Raw genomic sequence first — 21,104 nt, forward strand, 5'->3', positions numbered from 1 at the left:
AATTCTGTTTTTGGTCATTTATTGTTTTCCTGATTTCACTGAATTTTTTTCTCTGTATGTCATTAATTTTATTCCCTGAACTTTCTCTAGACAATTAGTTTGAATTCTGTCAGGAAGTTTCTGTATCTTCATTTCTTTGGGGTCAGCTATCAGGAGATTATTGTGCTCTTTTGGTAGTATTATGTCTCCTTGATTTTTCATGTTTCTTGTTGCCTTATGTTGATGTCTCTGCATTTGAAGGACTGGGAAAGCCCTTAATCAGTGAGAATCAGAGATTCTGGGCAGGCTGTTTGGTGTGGTCCAAAAGCCTAAATCAGAAGTGTCAAAGATTATATTTTTACCTGCTCACTAACCTATTTATCTGATACATAGTGCACTTAGAGATACATATATAGCACCATCTTTAAGTATTTTCAGACTTTAATATTAAAATATTTTCATTTAATTATTTTCAATTGTTAATTCTCATAGAGTCTAAGATAAGAAACTTTTTTATTTCCTCTAGGCAAAATTTATTCATAGTTGAGATTATATTGCTGCTGCGTGACAGTCTCATAGAGTTGTTTTGAGGATCAAATATTATAACATTTGAAATACTTTAAAATGTGTTATTAAAATGTAAGATAAGATTCTGAAACATCAGATAAATTTTGTAAATGAAGTCTCAGTTTGGGGCATTGTGTTAATAATTTTCTAAAGATGTTGTTTTATATATGAAGTTATTTTTTCCTCCACAAATACCAAGAATATTTAGGAGAGTAATTACTTAAGTTCTAATTTTATAAATAAAATCTCCCCTTTCCTCATAGTTCTGCCTTTTATAAGTAAGGAATTTCTATCTGTATTAGCTTATTAATCTATTATCTTTGTCAATTGGGAAGGAGTGGGGAATGAGAACCATATACTTCATTAGGCTATCATTTTAGTTTTACTGTAACTTTAAATAGCTTTGGATGGGAATATGTAAATATATTAAAGCAGCACATTACATTTGACCTAGTTAATAGTCCAATCTTTTGACTGTCAGTTCTTTAATTTTTTTGGTTTGTTTTATATGTTTAAGAAACTGATAATTTCTTGAATAGTTTTCATGAGGACTTAGTTGTTATTTTTGAAATGTATTGCAAATTATACAGGTAAATGAAATAATTGTATATTTCTCTTATTTAGCAATTACAGAAGGATCACCTTTGAATGAAATTACTTCAGACAGAAAGTTATCAAGTGTAGCAGGATGCTATCTAAAATATAAGAAGAAAAATAGTTTGTCTTCCAAACTCCCTGAACCTTCAATATCCAAAAAGTTAAATAAAAAAAGCAACCAATATTATAGCAAAATTATGGAGAATGATGACCTTGAATCTAAAAGACCAAAAAATACTTGGCAAATAAGAAAATTTCTGGGTGGGGTTGGCAGCAGTAATGTAGGAGTCCAAGAACCATATTCAAAGAATGGCATAAACTTTAAAAAACATTCAGAGAAGGGTGAAATTCATGACTCAAAGTCTAAACCACAAAGCTTGAAGAGTAGTACAAGCCTCAGTAAGTCTCTGGATAAAAGTGATATTTCTAGTATCCCAAAACTTCAGAAGCCAGCTGTAAGAAAGCATTCCAGTCTCCAAAAACAGGTTTCGTCTACGGAAAAAACTGCAATTAGTACTCTGGGTAAGTAAAAATCTAGGTTCTTGAGTTCTTCAGTCATCACAGAAATGAACAGAATGAATCAATTATTAGATAGTTGTAAGCATTTCAATTGTTAACACCCTGGGTAACCACCACTTCTTTTTTTTTTAATTTTTAAATTATTTATAGAGACAGGGTTACCCAGGCTGGTCTCAAACCCCTGGCCTCAAGCAATCCTCCTGCATTGGCCTCCCAAAGTGCTGGGATTATAGGCGTGAACCACCATGCCTATGCAAAAATTCTGGAAATGTACAGTAGTGATGGTGGTACAACTTTGTAAATGTGATTAATGCCACTGAATAGTATGTCTATTTTTTATTTTTTGAGTCAGAATCTCACTCTGTCAACCAGGCTGGAGTGTAGTGGCGTGATCCTAGCTCACTGCAGCCTCGACCTTTTGTGTTCAAGTGATCCTCCCACCTCCTCAGCCTCTCATGTAGCTGGGAGCATAGGAACATGCCACCACACCCAGCTAACTTTTTTTTTTTTTCATAGAGACGGGGGTCCCATAATGTTCCCAAGGCTGGTCTTGAACTCCTGGCCCCAAGTAGTGCTCCCGTCTTGGCCTCCCAAGGATCTGCGATTACAGGCATGAGCCACCACGTCCGGCCTGCCACTTCTGACACATAGACTAATGGATATAATATTGTGATTTTGATGATAATTCCTTTCCAGATGCCCTCTTTAGGGAGGAGCTTAACTTTTCCTGAGAAACTTATTCAGTGATTAATTGCAATCATTAATATTTCCTAGAAAGTAGAAGGCCTGGTTTCTTTTGGAAACGTTTATTTTGTAATTTATTAAACATTTAAACAAGTAGGAAATCTGTGTGAAATTTTTGCTTAGAGTGCTGTAATTTAAATATATAATATTCATAGTACTTCAGGTATTATCTCTTATGGAAGGAGAATATCAGGAAAAAATAATACTATATATCTAGGGCTCCAAGTCTTTATGATTTTTCTCAAAGATGAGCAATGGTTTCCCAACCAATATATTTTCTCTCCTTGTATTACTTTCATCATAGAAGCAGTGTGTGTGGAACCCAGTTAAAGATTTCTTCCTGTAGTCCTCTGCTGAAGTTACTTAAGTCATATTTATTCTCTTTTAAAAACTTACTGTCATATCACATTTAGTATTTAATGTAATAGATAAAATGATTGTTTAGTGAAAATTTTGTGATTCATACATTAGTGCATAATTCAAATAACTCAATGGAAAAAAGGAATGTGATCTATTAAGGAGGCACAGTGATTATCATCCTGATTCTGATTCCTTTACCAATGCACTGCTGCTACTTTGTGCCTCATTTGAATTTCTGAGAGTTATTTTTATTTCAAAAGAATTAAAACCTTGGTTAAAGGAATAATGAAACAGCAGACAGACATGGGTAGAAGAGGCTGTCAGAAGAAAGTGATATCTACCTTTCTCGTGTCACTAAAATAAAATGATGTCATCTACCACAGCCATACTTAATGTTCTGAATATAGAGAAGTATGAAATAGTTTATCTGGCATAACTTCCCAAAACAAATTAATGGTAATTGGACTTTTATGGAATATGACTGCCTGTATGATTTACATTAAAAAATTCTAACTTTTCATTTTTAAATAATTTCACATTCTTAAGAGTCACAAAAATAGTACAAACATTTCCATTAGGACATGATCTAAACCAGGAGATTAACACTGATGCAATACTGTTACTGATCTACAGACCTTATTCAAATTTGTCAGTTGTTCCATGAATGTTCTTTTTCAATTCCAGGATCTAATCCAGAATCACCCATTACATTTAGTTGTCACTTTTCTTTAGTCCCCTTCAGTCTGGGATGCTTCCTCAATTTTTCATGACCTTGACACTTTGAAGACTATTGACTAGTTGTCTTGTATAATACTCTTCATTTTGGATTTTTCTTTTATTCCTTCACAAATAAATTCAGGTTATGCATTTTTGGTCAGATTACCTCAGAAGTGATATTGTACCCATCTCAGTGCATCAGTAAGAAGCACATGACGTCTATGTGTATTTGCTTCTAAGATTTTATTTTTTGAAGGTTATGAACTGAAAACATGGTAGAGTAAATTAATGGGAGGGTGAAGAACTCTACATTTTTGCTTGGAATTCTTCAATTTAAACAAAACACTTCGGTATTTTTATTTCTTGGACTCATTAATTTTACACACACACATACACATACAAACACACACACACACACTCAGGCTGGAATGCAGTGGTGCGATCTCAGTGCACTGCGACCTCTGCCTCCCGGGTTCAAGTGATCCTTCTGCCTCAGCCTCTTGAGTAGCTGGGACTACACACATGCACCATCACACCCAGCTAATTTTTGTATTTTTAGTAGAGACAGGGTTTCACCATGTTGGCCAGGCCGGTCTCAAACTCTTGACCTCCAATGACCCACCTGCCTTGGCTTCCCGAAGTGCCGTGATTATAGGCAGGAGCCACCATACCTGGCCCCATTAATTTTATTTTAATCAGAAGCAAGCAGCATTGGCTGGGCCACTGGAACAGGCTGTTCCCCCAAACAAGTAGATTATAAATGTTTATAGAATGTTAGGACGGTTCTGTGTTTGAGCTGTAAGAGAAAGATTAAATATAATGTAATATAAACAGATATGGAGAGAAAAGCAGTCTTATAAAATCTATAAGGTAATATAAAATAGATAAAACTTGTTCTCTAATTTCTAAAGATTTTGAGTATTATTGCTTTTGACACATAAATTCTGTTGCCTAATAGTTCTCTACATTTTGTGTATTTAGAAAACTTCTGTGAAGCTATCAGTAAACTTCAAGAAAATTACATTGCAGCAGAAGAACTTCAGTCTATTTTGCCTTCAACAGGAATTAATTTATTAGATGAAGAATTCCAGAAGATTGTGACAGACACTAGTAGAAATGGTGAGAGACTGATAACACTGAAGTTTCTGAGAAAGTTAGATATTTTTATCGGATAGTATTAAATATTGGAGGAATTCCTCTCAATTAGAAATTAGGAATGGGACAGAATGGGTCATTCTAAAGAAAATTCAGATATAAAAATGGAAAATAGTAAAAAAAAATTCCTTTAAGTTCTGACCAAATGGATTGGTTTGGAGCCTTTCGTATTTCCAGATCATTTCAGTAAAGCTCTTCATCACTATCCCTATCTGTGCCTATTAATAGTAGGGTAGTGCTGGGGAGACTGATCCAGTTGTAGCGAGGTTCAGATGGCAAGACCACAATATCTAAGGGGTATGGATATATCTGCACAAATAGCCCAAGGATCCAAAGATTAATAATTGGAGATTACAAAATACGGGGGAATTTAGAGCCAGGTATGCTTAGCAGTTAACATTTAGATGTTGAGTGGCATATCCCAGTCACTAGCCTAAGTTAAAGGCAGAGTTTAAGTTTCTAGGAAGGGTTTTTATACTAGGGAAGTTATTTTTATCAGTAACTAAGCATTTTCCACAACAGAAGTTCAATTGAGGAGAGGAAAGAGGTGACATTTTGGGGAAAGACTGATTGGAGAATAACATTAGAAGTGAATCCTCAGAATCTGGGCACAATTTTTTAGCTAAGGCAAATCTGAAAGAAGATTCAATTAAAAATTATATAAAGAGTGGGTGGCACTAAAATTATTGAGCCCTTTTTGCTGCTTATCAGGATTGACATGATCACTCTGAGGGTTTATATCTAAAAATAGGTAAAACATTGGACCACATGGATACTAGGGAGATAGAGATGGGAATCCTTGGTTTTATCAGGGCTGGTTAGTATTGTTAAGGTGTCTTAATGGATAGTATATTGAGTGGGTTTTCAAGATGGTATGAAATAGACTCCTTAACTCTCTCATGGTCTATCTATATGGACATCTTTCTTTTTTCCTAGATCTGTTAAGAAATTAGTATCTAACTCAGTCCTTTGCATGTAATAGATATTGAGAAAGCAAGGACTGTGTCTTTCTTATTTTTGTATTCTCGGTGCCTAGCATGGTTCTTGGCACTAATATGCTCTCAATAATTGTTCAAATGAACTGACTTAATCTAGAAAGAATTATGAGACATGATATGAAGGAGAAATAGGATGATGAAATGAAGGATCAAGTAAATTTTAAAAATAGTTGTGTTAAAATGTAAATTTGCCTTTATGCAAAAATACACCAGAATGTATAATCTAAACTCTTTTTAAAAACAGAGAATGGAATGGTGGAGTTAGATGACTTTGTAAATGCTCTCGCCAAGGAGCGAAGTTTTCCTGAATGCAATGGTAGGTAGGAAATTTGTTTTAAAATGATTTAGAGGGAAGAGCAGTGTGTTGAGAAGAATTAGGTTCAACAGAACTGGGCTTGCTTTTGGATGGATACTTAATAGTCCTGTGACTCTTAGGCAAGTCAGTTGCCAGTTTTTAAAAACTTGCTATATCAGAGTAATAATAGCTAACTTGTTTACCTCACAGAGTTGTCACGTGAATTTTGCAAACTGAAAAGTGAGCCATAAATGTATGGTAATAATGATAATGCGGAGATCAAATAGGTAATTAGCAACATTGATTAGGAATTGATGGGTGATATGGTTTGTTTTTTTTTTTCCCATGGACTTGTTTGAATGAAATACTGGTTTGGTTCACCTTTGATTTAGAACTTTTAAAAACAGCTTTATCAAGGTATAATTTATGTATATAAAATTCACTCATCCACTGATTTTTATTAAATTTATTGAGTTGTAGAACTATTACCACAATACGCTTTTGTTGCTTGCAATATTTTTATACAAATGATTAAATATTTTTTAGCAAGATTAAAATGAGAAACGAAAGATATTAAGGCTTGCTGTTTTTATTTTGTTCTGTTTATACATATGCTAAAAACGAAAGATAAGCTTTTTGTCTCTTTCCAAAAAATTCCCCAGATAAGGAAAGATTAGTCCAAAGCAAGATTGCCTTTTATACTTAAATGAAGAGACTTATGTTAAAAGCTACATTATCATTTGTCATTTCTGATGGATGTAAGTGGTGAAGTGTCTGGATTTATTGAAGACAATATTAGCAAGTCGATTTCTTTTAAAAAGTGTTCCTTTATGTTCAGTTTGTAAGCAAATAGACTATTTTATTATACTTTAAGTTCTGGGATACATGTGCAGAACGTGCAGGTTTGTTACATAGGTATACACATGCTATGGTGGTTTGCTGCACCCTTCAACCCATCATCTACATTAGGTATTTCTCCTAATGCTATCCCCCTACTAGCCCCCTACCCCCTGACAGGCCCCAGTGTGTGATGTTCCCCTCCCTGTGTCCATGTGTTCTCATTGTTCAACTCCCACTTATGAGTGAGAACATGTGGTGTTTGGTTTTCTGTTCCTGCGTTAGTTTGCTGAGGATGATGGTTTCCAGCTTCATCCATGTCCCTGCAAAGGACAGGAACTCATTCTTTGTTATGGCTGCATAGTAGTCCATGGTGTATATGTGCCACATTTTCTTTATCCAGTCTATCATTGATGGGCATTTGGGTTGGTTCCAAGTCTTTGCTATTGTGAACAGCACTGCAATAAACATACATGTGCATGTGTCTTTATAGTAGAATGATTTATAATCCTTTGGGTATATACCCAGTAATGGGATTGTTGGGTCAAATGGTATTTCTGGTTCTAAATCCTTGAGGAATCGCCACACTTCTTCCACAATGGTTGAATTAATTTACATTCCCACCAACAGTGTAAAAGCGTTCCTATTTCTCCACATCCTCTTCAGCATCTGTTGTTTCCTGACTTTTTAATGATCGCCATTCTAACTGGCATGAGATGGTATCTCATTGTGGTTTTGATTTGCATTTCTCTAATGACCAGTGATGATGAGCTTTCTTTTCATCTTTGTTGGCCGCATAAATTGCTTCTTCTTTTTTTTTTTTTTTTTTTTGAGACAAAGTCTCACTCTGTCACCTAGGCTGGAGTGCAGTGGCACGGTCTTGGCTCACTGCAACCTTTGCCTCCTGGGTTCAAGTGATTTTCCTGCCTCAGCCTCTTGAGTAGCTGGGACTACAGGTACGTACCACCATGCCTGGCTAATTTTTTGTATTTTTAGTAGAGACAGGTTTTCACCATGTTTGCCAGGATGGTCTTGATCTCCTGACCTTGTGATCTGCCCACATCAGCCTCCCAAAGTTAAATGTCTTCTTTTGAGAAGCGTCTGTTCATATCCTTCACCCACTTTTTGATGGGTTTTTTTTTCTTGTAAATTTGTTTAAGTGCTTTGTAGATTCTGAATATCAGCCCTTTGTCAGGTGGATAGGTTGCAAAAATTTTCTCCCATTCTGTAGGTTTCCTGTTCACTCTGATGATAGTTTCTTTTGCGTGCAGAAGTTCTTTAGTTTAATTAGATCCCATTTGTCAATTTTGGCTTTTGTTGCCATTGCTTTTGGTGTTTTAGTCATAAAGTCTTTGCCCATGCCTATGTCCTGAATGGTATTGCCTAGGTTTTCTTCTAGGGTTTTTATGGTTTTAGATCTTACATTTAAGTATTTAATCCATCTTGAGTTATATTTTCTATTAGGTGTAAGGAAGGGTTCCAATTTCAGTTTTCTGCATATGGGTAGCCAGTTTTCCCAACACCATTTATTAAATAGGGAATCATTTCCCCATTGCTTGTTTCTGTCAGGTTTGCCAGAGATCAGATGGTTGTAGCTGTGTGGTGCTATTTGAGACCTCTGTTCTGTTCCATGGGTCTATATATCTGTTCTGGTACCAGTACCATGCTGTTTGCTGTTTTGATTACTGTAGCCTTTTAGTATAGTTTTAAGTCAGGTAGCGTGATACCTCTAGCTTTCTTCTTTTTGCTTAGGATTGTCTTGGCTATACAGGCTCTTTTTTGGTTCCATATGAAATTTAAAGTAGTTTTTTAATTCTGTGAAGAAAGTCAATGGTAGCTTGATGGGGATAGCACTGAATCTATAAATTACTTTGGGCAAGATGGCCATTTTCATGATATTGATCATTCCTATCCATGAACATGGAATTTTTTTACATTTGTTTGTGTCCTCTCTTATTTTCTTGAGCAGTGGTTTGCAGTTCTCCTTGAAGAGGTCCTTCACATCCCTTGTAAGTTGTATTCCTAGGTATTTTATTCTCTTTGTAGCAACTGTAAATGGGAGTTCACTCATGATTTGGCTCTCTGCCTGCCCGTTTTCGATGTATAGGAATGCTTGTGATTTTTGCACATTGATTTTGTATCCTGAGACCTTGCTGAAGTTGTTTATCAGCTTAAGGAGATTTTGGGCTGAGACGATGGGGTTTTCTAGATATACAATCATGTCATCTGCAAACAGAGGCAATTGGACTTCCTCTCTTCCTATGTGAATACGCTTTATTTCTTTCTCTTGCCTGATTGCTGTGGGGAGAACTTCCAATACTATGTTGAATAGGAGTGGTGAGAGAGGGCATCCTTGTCTTGTGCCGGTTGTCAAAAGGAATCCTTCCAGCTTTTGTCCATTCAGTATGATATTGGCTATGGGTTTGTCATAAATAGCTCTTATTATTTTGATATGTGTTCCATCAATACCTAGTTTATTGAGAGTTTTTAGCATGAAGGGGTGCTTAATTTTATTGAAGGCTTTTTCTGCATCTATTGAGATAATCATGTGGTTTTTGTCATTGGTTCTGTTTATGTGATGATAAGCTTTTTGATGTGTGGCTGGATTCAATTTGCCAGTATTTTATTGAGATTTTCACATCAATGTTCATAAGAAATATTGGCCCCAAATTTTCTTTTTTTGTTGTGTTTCTGCCTGGTTTTGGTATCAGGGTGATGCTGGCCTCATAAAATGAGTTAGAGCGGAGTCCCCCCTTTTCTGTTGTTTGGAATAGTTTCAGAAGGAATGCTACCAGCCCCTCCTTGTACCTCTGGTAGAATTTAACTCTGAATCCATCTGGTCCTGGGCTTTTTTTGGTTGGTAGGTTATTAATTACTGTCTCAATTTCAGAACCTGTTATTGGTCTATTCAGGGATTCGACTTCTTCCTGGTTTAGCCTTGGGAGGGTGTATGTGTCCAGGAATTTATCCATTTCTTCTAGATTTTCTAGTTTATTTGTGTAGAGGTGCTTATAGTATTCTCTGATGGTAGTTTGTATTTCTATGGGGTCAGTGCTGATATCCCCTTTATCATTTTTTATTGTGTCTATTTGATTCTTTTCTCTTTTCTTCTTTATTAGTCTTGCTAGCAGTCTATTTTGTTAATCATTTCAAAAAACCAGCTTCCAGATTCATTGATTTTTTGAAGTACTCTTCATGTCTCTATCTCTTTCTGTTTTTCTCTGATCTTAGTTATTTCTTGTTTTCTGATAGCATTTGAATTTGTTTGCTCTTGCTTCTCTAGTTCTTTTAATTGTGATGTTAGGGTGTCGATTTTAGATCTTTCCTGCCTTCTCCTGTGGGCATTTAGTGCTATAAATTTCCCTCTAAACACTGCTTTAGCTGCATCCCAGAGATTCTGGTACATTGTGTCTTTGTTCTCATTGGTTTCAAGTAACTTATTTATTTCTGCCTTCATTTCATTATTTACCCAGTAGTCATTCAGGAGCAGGTTGTTCAGTTTCCATGTAGCTGTTTGGTTTTGAGTGAGTTTCTTAATCCTGAGTTCTAATTTGATTGCACTGTGGTCTGAGAGACTGTTGTGATTTCCATTCTTTTGCATTTGCTGAGGAGTATTTTGCTTCCAATTATGTGGTCAATTTTAGAATAAGTGCGATGTAGTGCTGAGAAGAGTGCATATTCTGTTGATTGGGGGTGGTCAATTTTAGAATAAGTGCGATGAAGTGCTGAGAAGAATGTATATTGTTGGTTGGGGGTGGAGAGTTCTGTAGGTGTCTATTAGGTCTGCTTAATCTAGAGCTGAGTTCAAGTCCTGAAAATCCTTATTAATTTTTTGTTTCCTTGAGCTGTCGACTATTGATAGTGGGGTGTGAAATTCTCTCACTTTCATTGTGTGGGAGTCTAAGTATCTTTGTACGTCTCAAAGAACTTGTTTTATGAATCGGGGTACTCCTGCATTGGGTGCATATATATTTAGGATAGTTAGCTCTTCTTGTTGCATTAATCCCTTCTTTGTCTTTTTTGATCTTTGTTGGTTTAAGGGCTGTTTTATCACAGACTAGGATTGCAACCCCCAGTTTTTTTTTTTTGTTTTTTTTTTTTTGCTTTCCATTTGCTTGGTGAATAGTTCCCCATCCCTTTATTTTGAGCCTATGTGTGTCTTTGCATGTGAGATGGGTCTCCTGAATACATTTAATTTGCCAGTCTGTGTCTTTTAATTGGGGCATTTAGCCCCTTCACATTTAAGGTTAATATTGTTCTATGTTAATTTCATCCTGTCATCATGATGCTAGCTGGTTATTTTGAACATTAGTTGATGCAGTTTCTTCATAGTGTGATTGGTCTTTATATACGACTGTTTTTTTTTTTTGCAGTGGCTGGTATTAAGAAAGTTTTTCTTATATTAAGAAAGTTTTTCCCTTCTTAATATTTAGTGCTTCCTTCAGGAGCTCTTGCAAGGCAGGCCTGGTGTTGACAAAATCCCTCAGCGTTTGCTTGTATGTAAGGATTTTATTTCTCCTTCACTTATAAAACTTAGTTTGGCTGGATATGAAATTCCAGTTAGAAAATTCTTTTCTTTAAGAATGTTGAATATTGGCCCCCACTCTCTTTTGGCTTGTAGGTTTTCTGCAGAGAGATCTGCTGTTAGTCTGATGGGCTTCCCTTTGTAGGTAACCTGACCTCTCTCTCTGGCTGCCCTTAACTTTTTTTTTTTTTATTGAGAAGGAGTCTCGCTCTGTTGCCCAGGCTGGAGTGCAGTGGCACATCTCCGCTCACTGCAAGCTCCGCCTCCTGGGTTCACGCCATTCTCCTGCCTCAGCCTCCCACGTAGCTGGGACTACAGGCGCCCACCACCACGCCTGGCCAATTTTTTGTATTTTTTTAGTAGAGATGGGGTTTCACCGTGTTAGCCAGGATGGTCTCGATCTCCTGACCTTGTGATCCGCCCGCCTCGGGCTCCCAAAGTGCTGGAATTACAGGCGTGAGCCACCACGCTCAGCCAACTTTTATTCCTCCATTTCAACCGTGGAGAGTCTGATGATTTTGTGCCTTAGGGTTGCTCTTCTCAAGGAGTATCTTAGTGGTATTCTCTGTATTTCCTGAATTTGAATGTTGCCCTGTCTTGCTAGATTGGGGAAGTTCTCCCAGATAATATCCTGAAGTGTGTTTTCCAATTTGGTTCCATTCTCCCCTGTCACTTTCAGGGACCCTAATCAATCGTAGGTTTGGTCTTTTCACATAGTCCCATATTTCTTGGAGGCTTCGTTCATTCCTTTTCAATCTTTTGTCTCTAATCCTGTCTTCATGTCTTATTTCAGTAAGTTGAACTTCAATCTCTGATATCCTTTCTTCTGCTTGATTGATTCAGCTATTGATACTTGTGTATGCTTCATGAAGTTCTTGTGCCGTGTTTTTCAGCCCCATCAGGTCATTTATGTTCTTCTCTAAATTGGTTGTTCTATTAGCAGTTCCTGTAACCTTTTGTCAGGGTTCTTAGCTTCTTTGCATTGGGTTAGAACATGCTCCTTTAGCTCAGAGGAGTTTGTTATTACCCACCTTCTGAAGCCTACGTCTGTCAAATCATCAAACTCATTCTCTGTCTAGTTTTGTGCCCTTGCTAGAGAGGAGTTGCAATCATTTGGAGGAGAAGAGGCATTCTGGTTTTTGGAATTTTCAGCGTTTTTGTGCTGGTTTGTCCTCATCTTTATGGATTTACCTACCTTTGATCTTTGGATGGTGTTTCTGTATGGGGGTTCCTTATGTTGATGATGTTACTGCTTTCTGTTTGTTACTTTTTCTTCTAACAGTCATGCCCGTCTTCTGCAGGTCTGCTGCAGTTTGCTGGAGGTCCATTCCAGACCTTATGTGCCTGGGTATTACTAGTGTAGGCTGCAGAACAGCAAAGATTGCTGTTGCTCCTTCTTCTGGAAGCTTTGTCCCAGAGGGGCACCAGGCTGATGCCAGCCAGAGCTCTCCTGCATGAGGTGTCTGACAATCGCTGTTGGGAGGTCTCTCCCCATCAGGAGGTATGGAGGTCAGGGACCCAGTTGAGGAGGCAGTCTGTCCCTTAGCAGAGCTCAAGCGCTGTGCTGGGAGAGCCCTCCTTGTCAGGATCTGCTGCTCTCTTCAGAGTCAGCAGGCAGGAACGTTTAAAGTCCGCTGAAGTTGTGCCCACAGCCGCCCCTTCCCCCAGATACGCTGGTCCAGTGAGATGGGAGTTTTATCTATAACCCCTTGACTGGGGCTGGTGCCTTTCTTTCAGAGATGCCCTTCCCAGTGAAGAGGAATCTAGAGAGGCAGTCTGGCTGCAGCCACTTTGCCACACTGTGTTGAGCTCCACCCAGTCCGAACTTCCAGGCCTTTTTAGCGCTGTCAGGGGAAAACAAGCCTCAGTAATGGCAGATGCCCTTCCCCACACCAAGCTTGATCCTCCTAGTTTGACTTCAGACTGCTGTGCTGGTAGCGAGAATTTTAACCCAGTGGTTCTTAGCTTGCTGGGCTCCATGGGAGTGGGTCCCGCTGAGCGAGACCACTTGGCTCCCTGGCTTCAGCCCCTTTCCAGGGGAGTGAACAGCTCTGTCTCGCTGGGATTCCAGGTGCCTCTGGGGTACAAAAAAAAACTCCTGCAGCTAGCTTGGTGTCAGCCCAAACAGCCGCCCAGTTTTATGCTTGAAACCCAGGGCCCTGGTGGTGTAGGCACGCGAAGGAATCTCCTGGTCTGTGGATTGCAAAAACCGTGGGGAAAGCATAGTATCTGGCCCAGATAGCACAGTCTCTCAAGGCTTCCCTTGGCTGGGGGAGGGAGCCCTCCCACCCCCTCCCCGCCGCCGCCTGCTCCTTGCACTTCGTGGGTGAGGCGATGCCCAACCCTGCTTCTGCTCGCCCTCCATGGGCTGCACCCACTGCCCAACCAGTCCCAATGAGATGAGCAGGGTACGTCAGTTGGAAATGCAGAAATCACCGGCCTTCTGTGTTGGTCTTGCTGGGAGCTGCAGACCGGAGCTGTTCCTGTTCAGCCATCTTGCCAGCAGTCTCAGTGTTTGCATAGTTTCCAAAATTCCTTAGTTATTGATTTTTAGTTTTATTATATCGGGATCAGAAAAGTACTTCATATGATTTTGACTTTTTAAAATTTGTTGAGACTTCTTTTGTGGCCTGACGTGTGGCCTATCCTGGAGAATGTTCGATGTGCTGATGAGAATAATGTGTATTTGCAGCAGTTGGATGAAATGTTCTGCAAATGTCAGGTTCATTTGATCTAGAGTGTAGTTTAACTTTGATGTTTCTTTGTTGATTTTCTTTCTGGATCATCTGTCCATTACTGAGAATGGTGTGTTGAAGTCCTCTACTAGGATTGCATTGCAGTCTCTCTCTCCCTTTAGGTCTATTAATGTTTGCTTTATATATTTGGGTCCTCTGTTGTTGTGTACATACATATTTATAATTGTTATATCCTCTTACTGGATCAGCCCCTTTATTATTACTTGGTGACCTTCTTTGTCTCTACAGTCTTTGATGAGATTTCCTTAAAACCACTATTTTGGATTCTTTATCTGAGAGCTCACACATTGCTGTCTTATTAAGGTCAGTTACTAGTTCTTTACTCTGTCCATCTGAGGAGGTCATGGTTCCTAGTTTGCTGTTCTTCCTTGTGGACATATGTCTATATCTTGTCATTGAACCATTAATTATTTATTCCAGTCTTTGCTGTCTAGCTTGTTTTGGTCTTCCCAGGGTATATATGCTTAGAGGATTTTTGCACTTTGCCTGTTGAGTCACCTTAACCCTAGATCACTGCATCTTTTTGTTACTAGATTGTATTTTAAACCCAGATTTGCCTTGGCTTCACAACTGTTCAGAGTCCTGCATGTCTCAAATGGGGAGGTCTCAAAAGCGATACTCTAGCTGTGTGGGAAGGCTGTCTATAGGTTCATGCTGAGTGGAGCCATGGCATGTGCCTTCCTACAGTGTGGTACTGCTGAACAGCCACTCTGATTTGGTGTCTCCTTTGGCTGAGATAAAGAGCAGAATTTTGTGGCCTGGGGTTGCTGGTCCCACCTCTCTTTTAGTTTCTAGCTGCCCTCAGGGGGTTTATTGCCTATAGGCACTCATAATACTTCCTTTGGGTTGATTCAGGAATGGTTTTCCTGTAAAGGAACCCAAGATGGTGGGGAAGCTGGCTGACTGCCATGGTCTCACTTTTTCCACTGTAGAAATGAAGATTTCAGGGGGACTTTTCCTCATGGTACCTGGCAGTTTGGGGGAGGGGTGTTGTGGATATAGAAGTCCTTTTTTCTTAACATCTGCTTGGAGATTTTCACTTCTCTGTGCCCCCAGGAGTCATTTCAGCTTCAGATGTGAGTTCTGGGATATTACTGGTGTTAATCTTGGCACTGGATATTTGTTTTTGGTTTTCAGTAGGGGAGAATGAAGCCAGATTGCTTCTGTTCTGCCATTTTGGTGACATCACACTTCTGGTTTCTAAGGTTAATTTATGTAGTATGTATCGGTAGTTCATCCCCTTTTAAGGCTAAATAAATCTATATTATATTGTATGGATATTCTTTACTTTGTTGGTGGTCCATTGGCTCATGGACATTTGATTATTTCCAGTTTGGGGCTGTTATGAATAATACTGAAATTAACATTTGTATACATGTCTTCCTCTGGACATACACTTTTATTTCTCTTGGGGAGATTCCTAAGAGAAGAATTTTAGTCTATATGGTGAATTTATGTTTAACTCTTAAACTGTCAAAACTGTTTTCCAAAGTGTTTATAACATTTTCATTTTTCACCAACAATGTATGAGGATTCTAGTTTCTTCACATCTTCTCAACACTTGATTTTTTTTTTTATTATAACTGTTATAATAGGTGTGAAATGGTATTTCACTGTGGTTTTAGTTTTGCATTTCCTTAATGAGTAATGATGTCAAGCATATTTTCACATGCTTACTAGCCATTCATAATCTTTTTTTTGAGACTGGGTCTTGCTCTGTCATCTAGGCTGGAGTGCAATGGCTGAATCATTGCACACTGCAGCCTAGACCTCCTGGGCTCAAATAATCCTTCCACCTCAGCTTCCCAAGTAGCTGGGATCACAGGCACATGCCACTCAGCCCAGCTAATTTTTAAAAATAATCTTTTGTAGAGATGTGGTCTCCCTGTGTTGCTCAGGCTGGTCTTGAACTCCTGGTATCAAGCAATTCCCCGCTTGGCCTCTGAAAATGCTGAGATGGCAGGTGTGAGCCACTGTACTCCCAAGCGTATAGCTCTTTATATGGACCTGCATCAAGGAAGCATTGTGTGAGTTCAAGCAAGAAAGCCCCATGACAAACTAAACAAGATTCTCAAAGGTACAGCTCTTTATATTCACTCAGCAGCCACTTTACAATCCCAAGTCTTAGAGGGTTAGGTGAGAATAGAGTTCTTATCAGCCACCTCATGAATTTAGAACCATCTTTCCCCTTGCTGACTCAATACAGTGACCAGGCCCCTCATTTCATCTTTTTTTTTTTTTTTTTTACCCTATCCCTCTCTGACAGATTATGCTAACTTTGAATCTCAAGAATAATAGTTGGAAACTCATTCTCTTCTTTTACCTGGGCTTTTTGTATAAATGGTCCACCCTTTCCCCAGATTTCTGCATTCCATGTGGTATTGGATGTATAGAAGCTGAGCTGATGAAAGAAAAATGTTTCTGTTATTCTACCCCTACAGTGGCTGCAAATGATTTTCCATTTTATCTCAAATTTGCTTAAGGTGACTTGCTGTTTCTACCTGTAAAATTAAAAAAGAGCTTTTAATTTTTAAATGGGAATTTTGTTCACTTAAAAATTTCTTTCACAAGATAGGGACATGTATCTTGCTGTATGTACTATTTACACATCTTCTTTAAAAGAATCATCTTTTAAATAATCATTTTAAGAATCATCAAGTTCAGACATCAGTTTGATCATCACTTGTTTGTTTAGAAAGCCATAATGATTTCCAGTGACTACTTAAAGTTTATACCTGGTAATGGCTTTAATGCCCTCTGCTGCCTAGCTTCCTACTTTACCTATCCTAATCAATTAGAGAAAACCTATTTAATTTGTTCTAGAGTTTGTGTGTGTATATGTGTGTATGTGTATATATTGTGTGTGTTTGTATATTATAAAACTTATTGAGAGAGGGGTAGAATATACAAACACAATATACACAAACAATATTCACACACAATATACACGCATACACAACCTCTGTTTTTTTCATACACACACACACACACACACTTTCTCTCTCTCTCTCTGTGTTTTTTCATCTTTTTCTTCAAGTGATTTAAGGTGCCACCTCTACTTTGAAGTTTTCTGATTAAACCAGATGAATTCCAGTTAGCCAACCTTCTTAAGAGTTCAGTATATTTGTAAGTAATTTCCTTTAAGAATGCTTTAATTGCAGTAAAAATTTATCAGTTTAAATTTTGTGGAGAAAATACTGACCAAATTTATGAAGAGTAAATTCCAAGTTATTATAAGAAGAGATGTAGAATAGTTATTCCTAAGTAATAATATGTATATTTAGAAAGATAAACTAAGGTGAATTTACCAAAGACTGAGCCATGTATTGCCACAAAATTATCCAAGTTTATCATTTTGGATTGAAAATTTTCTGCTTGTATTTCTGCTACTGAGAAGCAGAGTACAAAGAATTTTAAATTGTTGAATTAAATGGAGAAATTATATAATATTTTGTTCCTATGTATTTCAGTTATGGTACTATCAGTGCAATTAAATTGGTGCTTCCTTAGGTTCAGAGACTATAGTATAGTAGAATAATATATATGTGTATGTGTGTCTGTCTGTCTATCTATCTATCTGTCTATCTATCTATCTATCATATATTTTTTGAGATGGTCTTGCTCTGTTGCCTAGGTTGAAGCACAGTGGTACTATCATAGCTCACCTCAGCCTTCATCTTCTGGGCTCAAGCAATTCTCCTACCTCAGCCTCCCCAGTAGCTAGGAATACAGGTGCACACCACTATGCCCAGCTAATTTTTTATTTTTTTGTGGAGACAGGGGTCTTGCTTTGTTGCCCAAGCTGCTTTCAAATCCCTGGCCTCAAGTGATTCTTCCGCCTGGCCTCTCAAAGTGTTTGAATTACAGGTGTGAGCTACTGTGTGTGGCCTAGAATAATATATTTTTGACTTTGATTTTGATACTTACTTTTTTTATTAAAGATTCTAGATATGCTTTTAGTATATAACACTGCTGAAGTGATTTATATTTTTGTTAATTTAGTGTTAGAACTAAAATTCATCTTGTTAGTGGTGTTTTATTTTTGACTTATATTTAATACTTATTAGCATACTCCTTTATTTTTAGCGTTGCCTGGTGTCATTAAAGCCATTGATAAAATTAAAGATAAAAATGTGGATTATGAGGATCTAAATACTTGTCTTCAAAATTTTGGTATTTACCTTTCTAAGCCAGAATTTAAGAAGATCACAGAACTGACTGAAGCTGGTGGTGAGTGATATATTTTCAGGCAAACTGCATTGACACATCTGGAAGGAGGGTCAATTTGTTATTTTTTTCTTAGAAAAATGACTAATTTTTTTATTATAAAAAGTTAAAATTAAACTAATACAAAAAGTATGGAAATACTCAAAAGTACAAGAAAACACTCAAAAGCCTGTTATTTAGGAATAACCAGTATTAATAGTCTTTTTAATTAAAAAAAAATTTTATTTATTTATTCTTTAAATAATCTTTTCAAGATTTTTTTTCCTAGGCAAAAATGCAGACAAAAAGAAAGCAGAATTTGTGGTATTGCTGTCTGACAAGGTAGAAGTCAGGACAAAAGGCATTAAATTGGGGCAAATAGGGATTCATTATTATGTCAAAACCTACAATTCACAATAAAGTTAAACCATTTTTGAGTATCTGTGCCCATATAACCTAGCAGCAGCTCTTCTAAAGGAAAGGGTGAGAGTGGCTCGACAGGAGACTGGGGTTATAGGTGAAATAATATTGTCTATGAGTTGATAATTGTTGACGCTAGAGATAGTATATGAACATATTACACTATTCTATTTTGTGTATATTTAACATTTTCCATAATAAAAAGTAAAAAAAGGAATATGTCTAAGTTGTATGATACCTGTATAGAGAAAATAAGACTATGTGAAGACATTAAAATCTAGATAAATAAGAATGTATCCCATGTCTGTAGATTCAGAGACCCAAGACTGTCAATTCTCTAATTAACTTATTTATTCAAAGCAATTCTAATAAAACCCTGACTTTTTTGTAAGCTAATTCTAATATTTATATGAATGACTAAAGGCTAAGAATAGCTAAAGCACTCTTGAAGAAGAACATTTGTGGAGATATGTGTGTGTTGGGGGGTGGGGGTTGGGAGGAACTTGCTCTCCTGGATATCAAATCTCCTTATAAAGCCGTAGTGACTAAAAGAGTGTGAGAATGGCAAAGGGATAGAGAAATTTACCAATAGGACAAGATAAGGAACTTCCAAACATATCCACAAACATACATGGCAACATATATGATAAAGTGGTGGATAACTGGGGAAAGAAGGACCATTTAATAAATGGTACTGAAAAAATTACTTATTCAAATGGAAAGAATAGTTAGATCCCTGTCTCACTCCGTATTCAATAATTTCCAGGTGTGAGAACTAAGGTTTAGAAAAAACAAAGGGAAGAAAAATTTTCTGACGTAGGATTTTTTAAGATATGAAATAAGAAACTAGAAAAGATTGATAAATTTGCATACATTAAGAACTTCTCTTTGTTAAAAGATACAACAAAGAGAATGAAATACAAGCCACACACTGGTTATTTGCAACACTTACAACAGTGATGATTATCGTAGAGAATATATAGGCAACTTTTACAAACCAACAACTCAACAGATATTATAGAAGTTTTCCACATGAAGACACAAGTTGCTAATAATCACATGAAAAGGTTCTCAACATCCTTAGTAATTAGGGAAGTGCAAAGTTTAGGTCATAATGAGATACTTAAAAAAAAAAGAGGGATCTGTTGGCCTCAAACTCCTGGGCTCAAGCAATCCTCCCACCTCATCTTCCTGAGTAGCCGGGACTAAAGGCACAAGCCACCATGCCTGGCTCATGACATACATTTTTATATCCACTAAAATTGGGAAAAAGTAAGAAATATGTTATTCTAAGTATTGGTAAATATGGTGAAAGTGGTAAAACCACTTTGGAAAATAATATGTAGTATCTTGTAACATTTGCATATCCCATGGTTTAGAAATACTATTCTTAGCTATAAATCCTGGAAAATCTCTTGGACTTAAGTACCAGGAAGCATATTCAAGAATGTACATGGCAGCACTGATCTTAATGGCAAAAAAGGAGAAAGAAAGCAGCATGATATTCATCCACAGAATGTATACATAAATTGTGGTATACACCATTGTGTATTCATATAATGGAAACCCCATCTCTCCTAAAAATATGAAAATTAACTGGGCATGGTGACGTGCCTGTAATCCCAGCTGCTTGGGAGGCTGAGGTGGGAGAATCGCTTGAACCTGGGAGGTGGAGGTTGCAGTGAGCTGAGATTGCACCGCTGCACTCTAGCGTGGGTGACAGAGTGAGACTCTTTCTCAAAAATAAATAAATAAATAAATAAATAAATAAATAAATAAAAATAAAAATAAATAAAAGTTAAAAATATTATGTATGCTTGAGAGGGACTGGAAGAATTTTGACCCGTTTTCTTGGTGTTTTTCAGCGTTTACTTCTCTACTGTAAATTGATTTGCTTTTCCCCTTTATACCCATATATTTTTATTGGTTAGTATTACCTGATGGATATAATTATATATTTCTGAATATATAACGTATTTTATATAATTCAATATTTTTCATAATAATACTTAAAAGATGCCAAAAAAATGTGTTTCTTTTTCCTGTAGAAACAAAAAAAGTGAATTTTAAAGAATTCATTGATACTATGATGAGCAACACGGAATGCTTCTCTGAAAAATTAGGTACGTAAGAATATCATGTCTTCTGCTTTTTGTGGACCAAATAGTTTGACAGATTTTAGAAGAGCGTAAACACTCTTTTAGTCTCTTATAGAGCTAGTTATCCTGCAGGTCATCCGACAAATAAATGCCTGGCTTCCTGCTGCTATATTTGGCTTTAATCTCCTCTAATGACCCCTAATTCTAGAATGTCTTCTACATGCAAGTGAATTAAAAGCTATCATAATTTTATTTTTCATTAGCGCACTTATAGAGGGCTAGAACCATGTATAGCATTCGTTTTGGGGAAAAGATTTAAAATGTCTTTCA

At 37.2% G+C, this 21,104-nt stretch overlaps 1 protein-coding gene across 6 annotated transcripts in view; it reads left to right on the forward strand.

Annotated features, from left to right (window-relative positions):
- Positions 1 to 21,104, forward strand: part of EFCAB13 (EF-hand calcium binding domain 13) — a 117,358-nt gene that overhangs the window by 49,347 nt on the left and 46,907 nt on the right. For all 6 annotated transcript variants that reach the window (NM_152347.5, NM_001426587.1, NM_001426586.1 and 3 more), the window contains 5 exons: positions 1,171 to 1,665; positions 4,465 to 4,602; positions 5,881 to 5,952; positions 18,136 to 18,279; positions 20,724 to 20,798. In NM_152347.5, coding sequence (NP_689560.3) covers positions 1,171 to 1,665; positions 4,465 to 4,602; positions 5,881 to 5,952; positions 18,136 to 18,279; positions 20,724 to 20,798 — 924 coding nt within the window. The remainder of the gene's footprint in view (positions 1 to 1,170; positions 1,666 to 4,464; positions 4,603 to 5,880; positions 5,953 to 18,135; positions 18,280 to 20,723; positions 20,799 to 21,104) is intronic.

The sequence above is a fragment of the Homo sapiens genome, chromosome 17 (genome assembly GCF_000001405.40).
Source record: "Homo sapiens chromosome 17, GRCh38.p14 Primary Assembly".
In the NCBI taxonomy this organism is placed as follows: domain Eukaryota; kingdom Metazoa; phylum Chordata; class Mammalia; order Primates; family Hominidae; genus Homo; species Homo sapiens.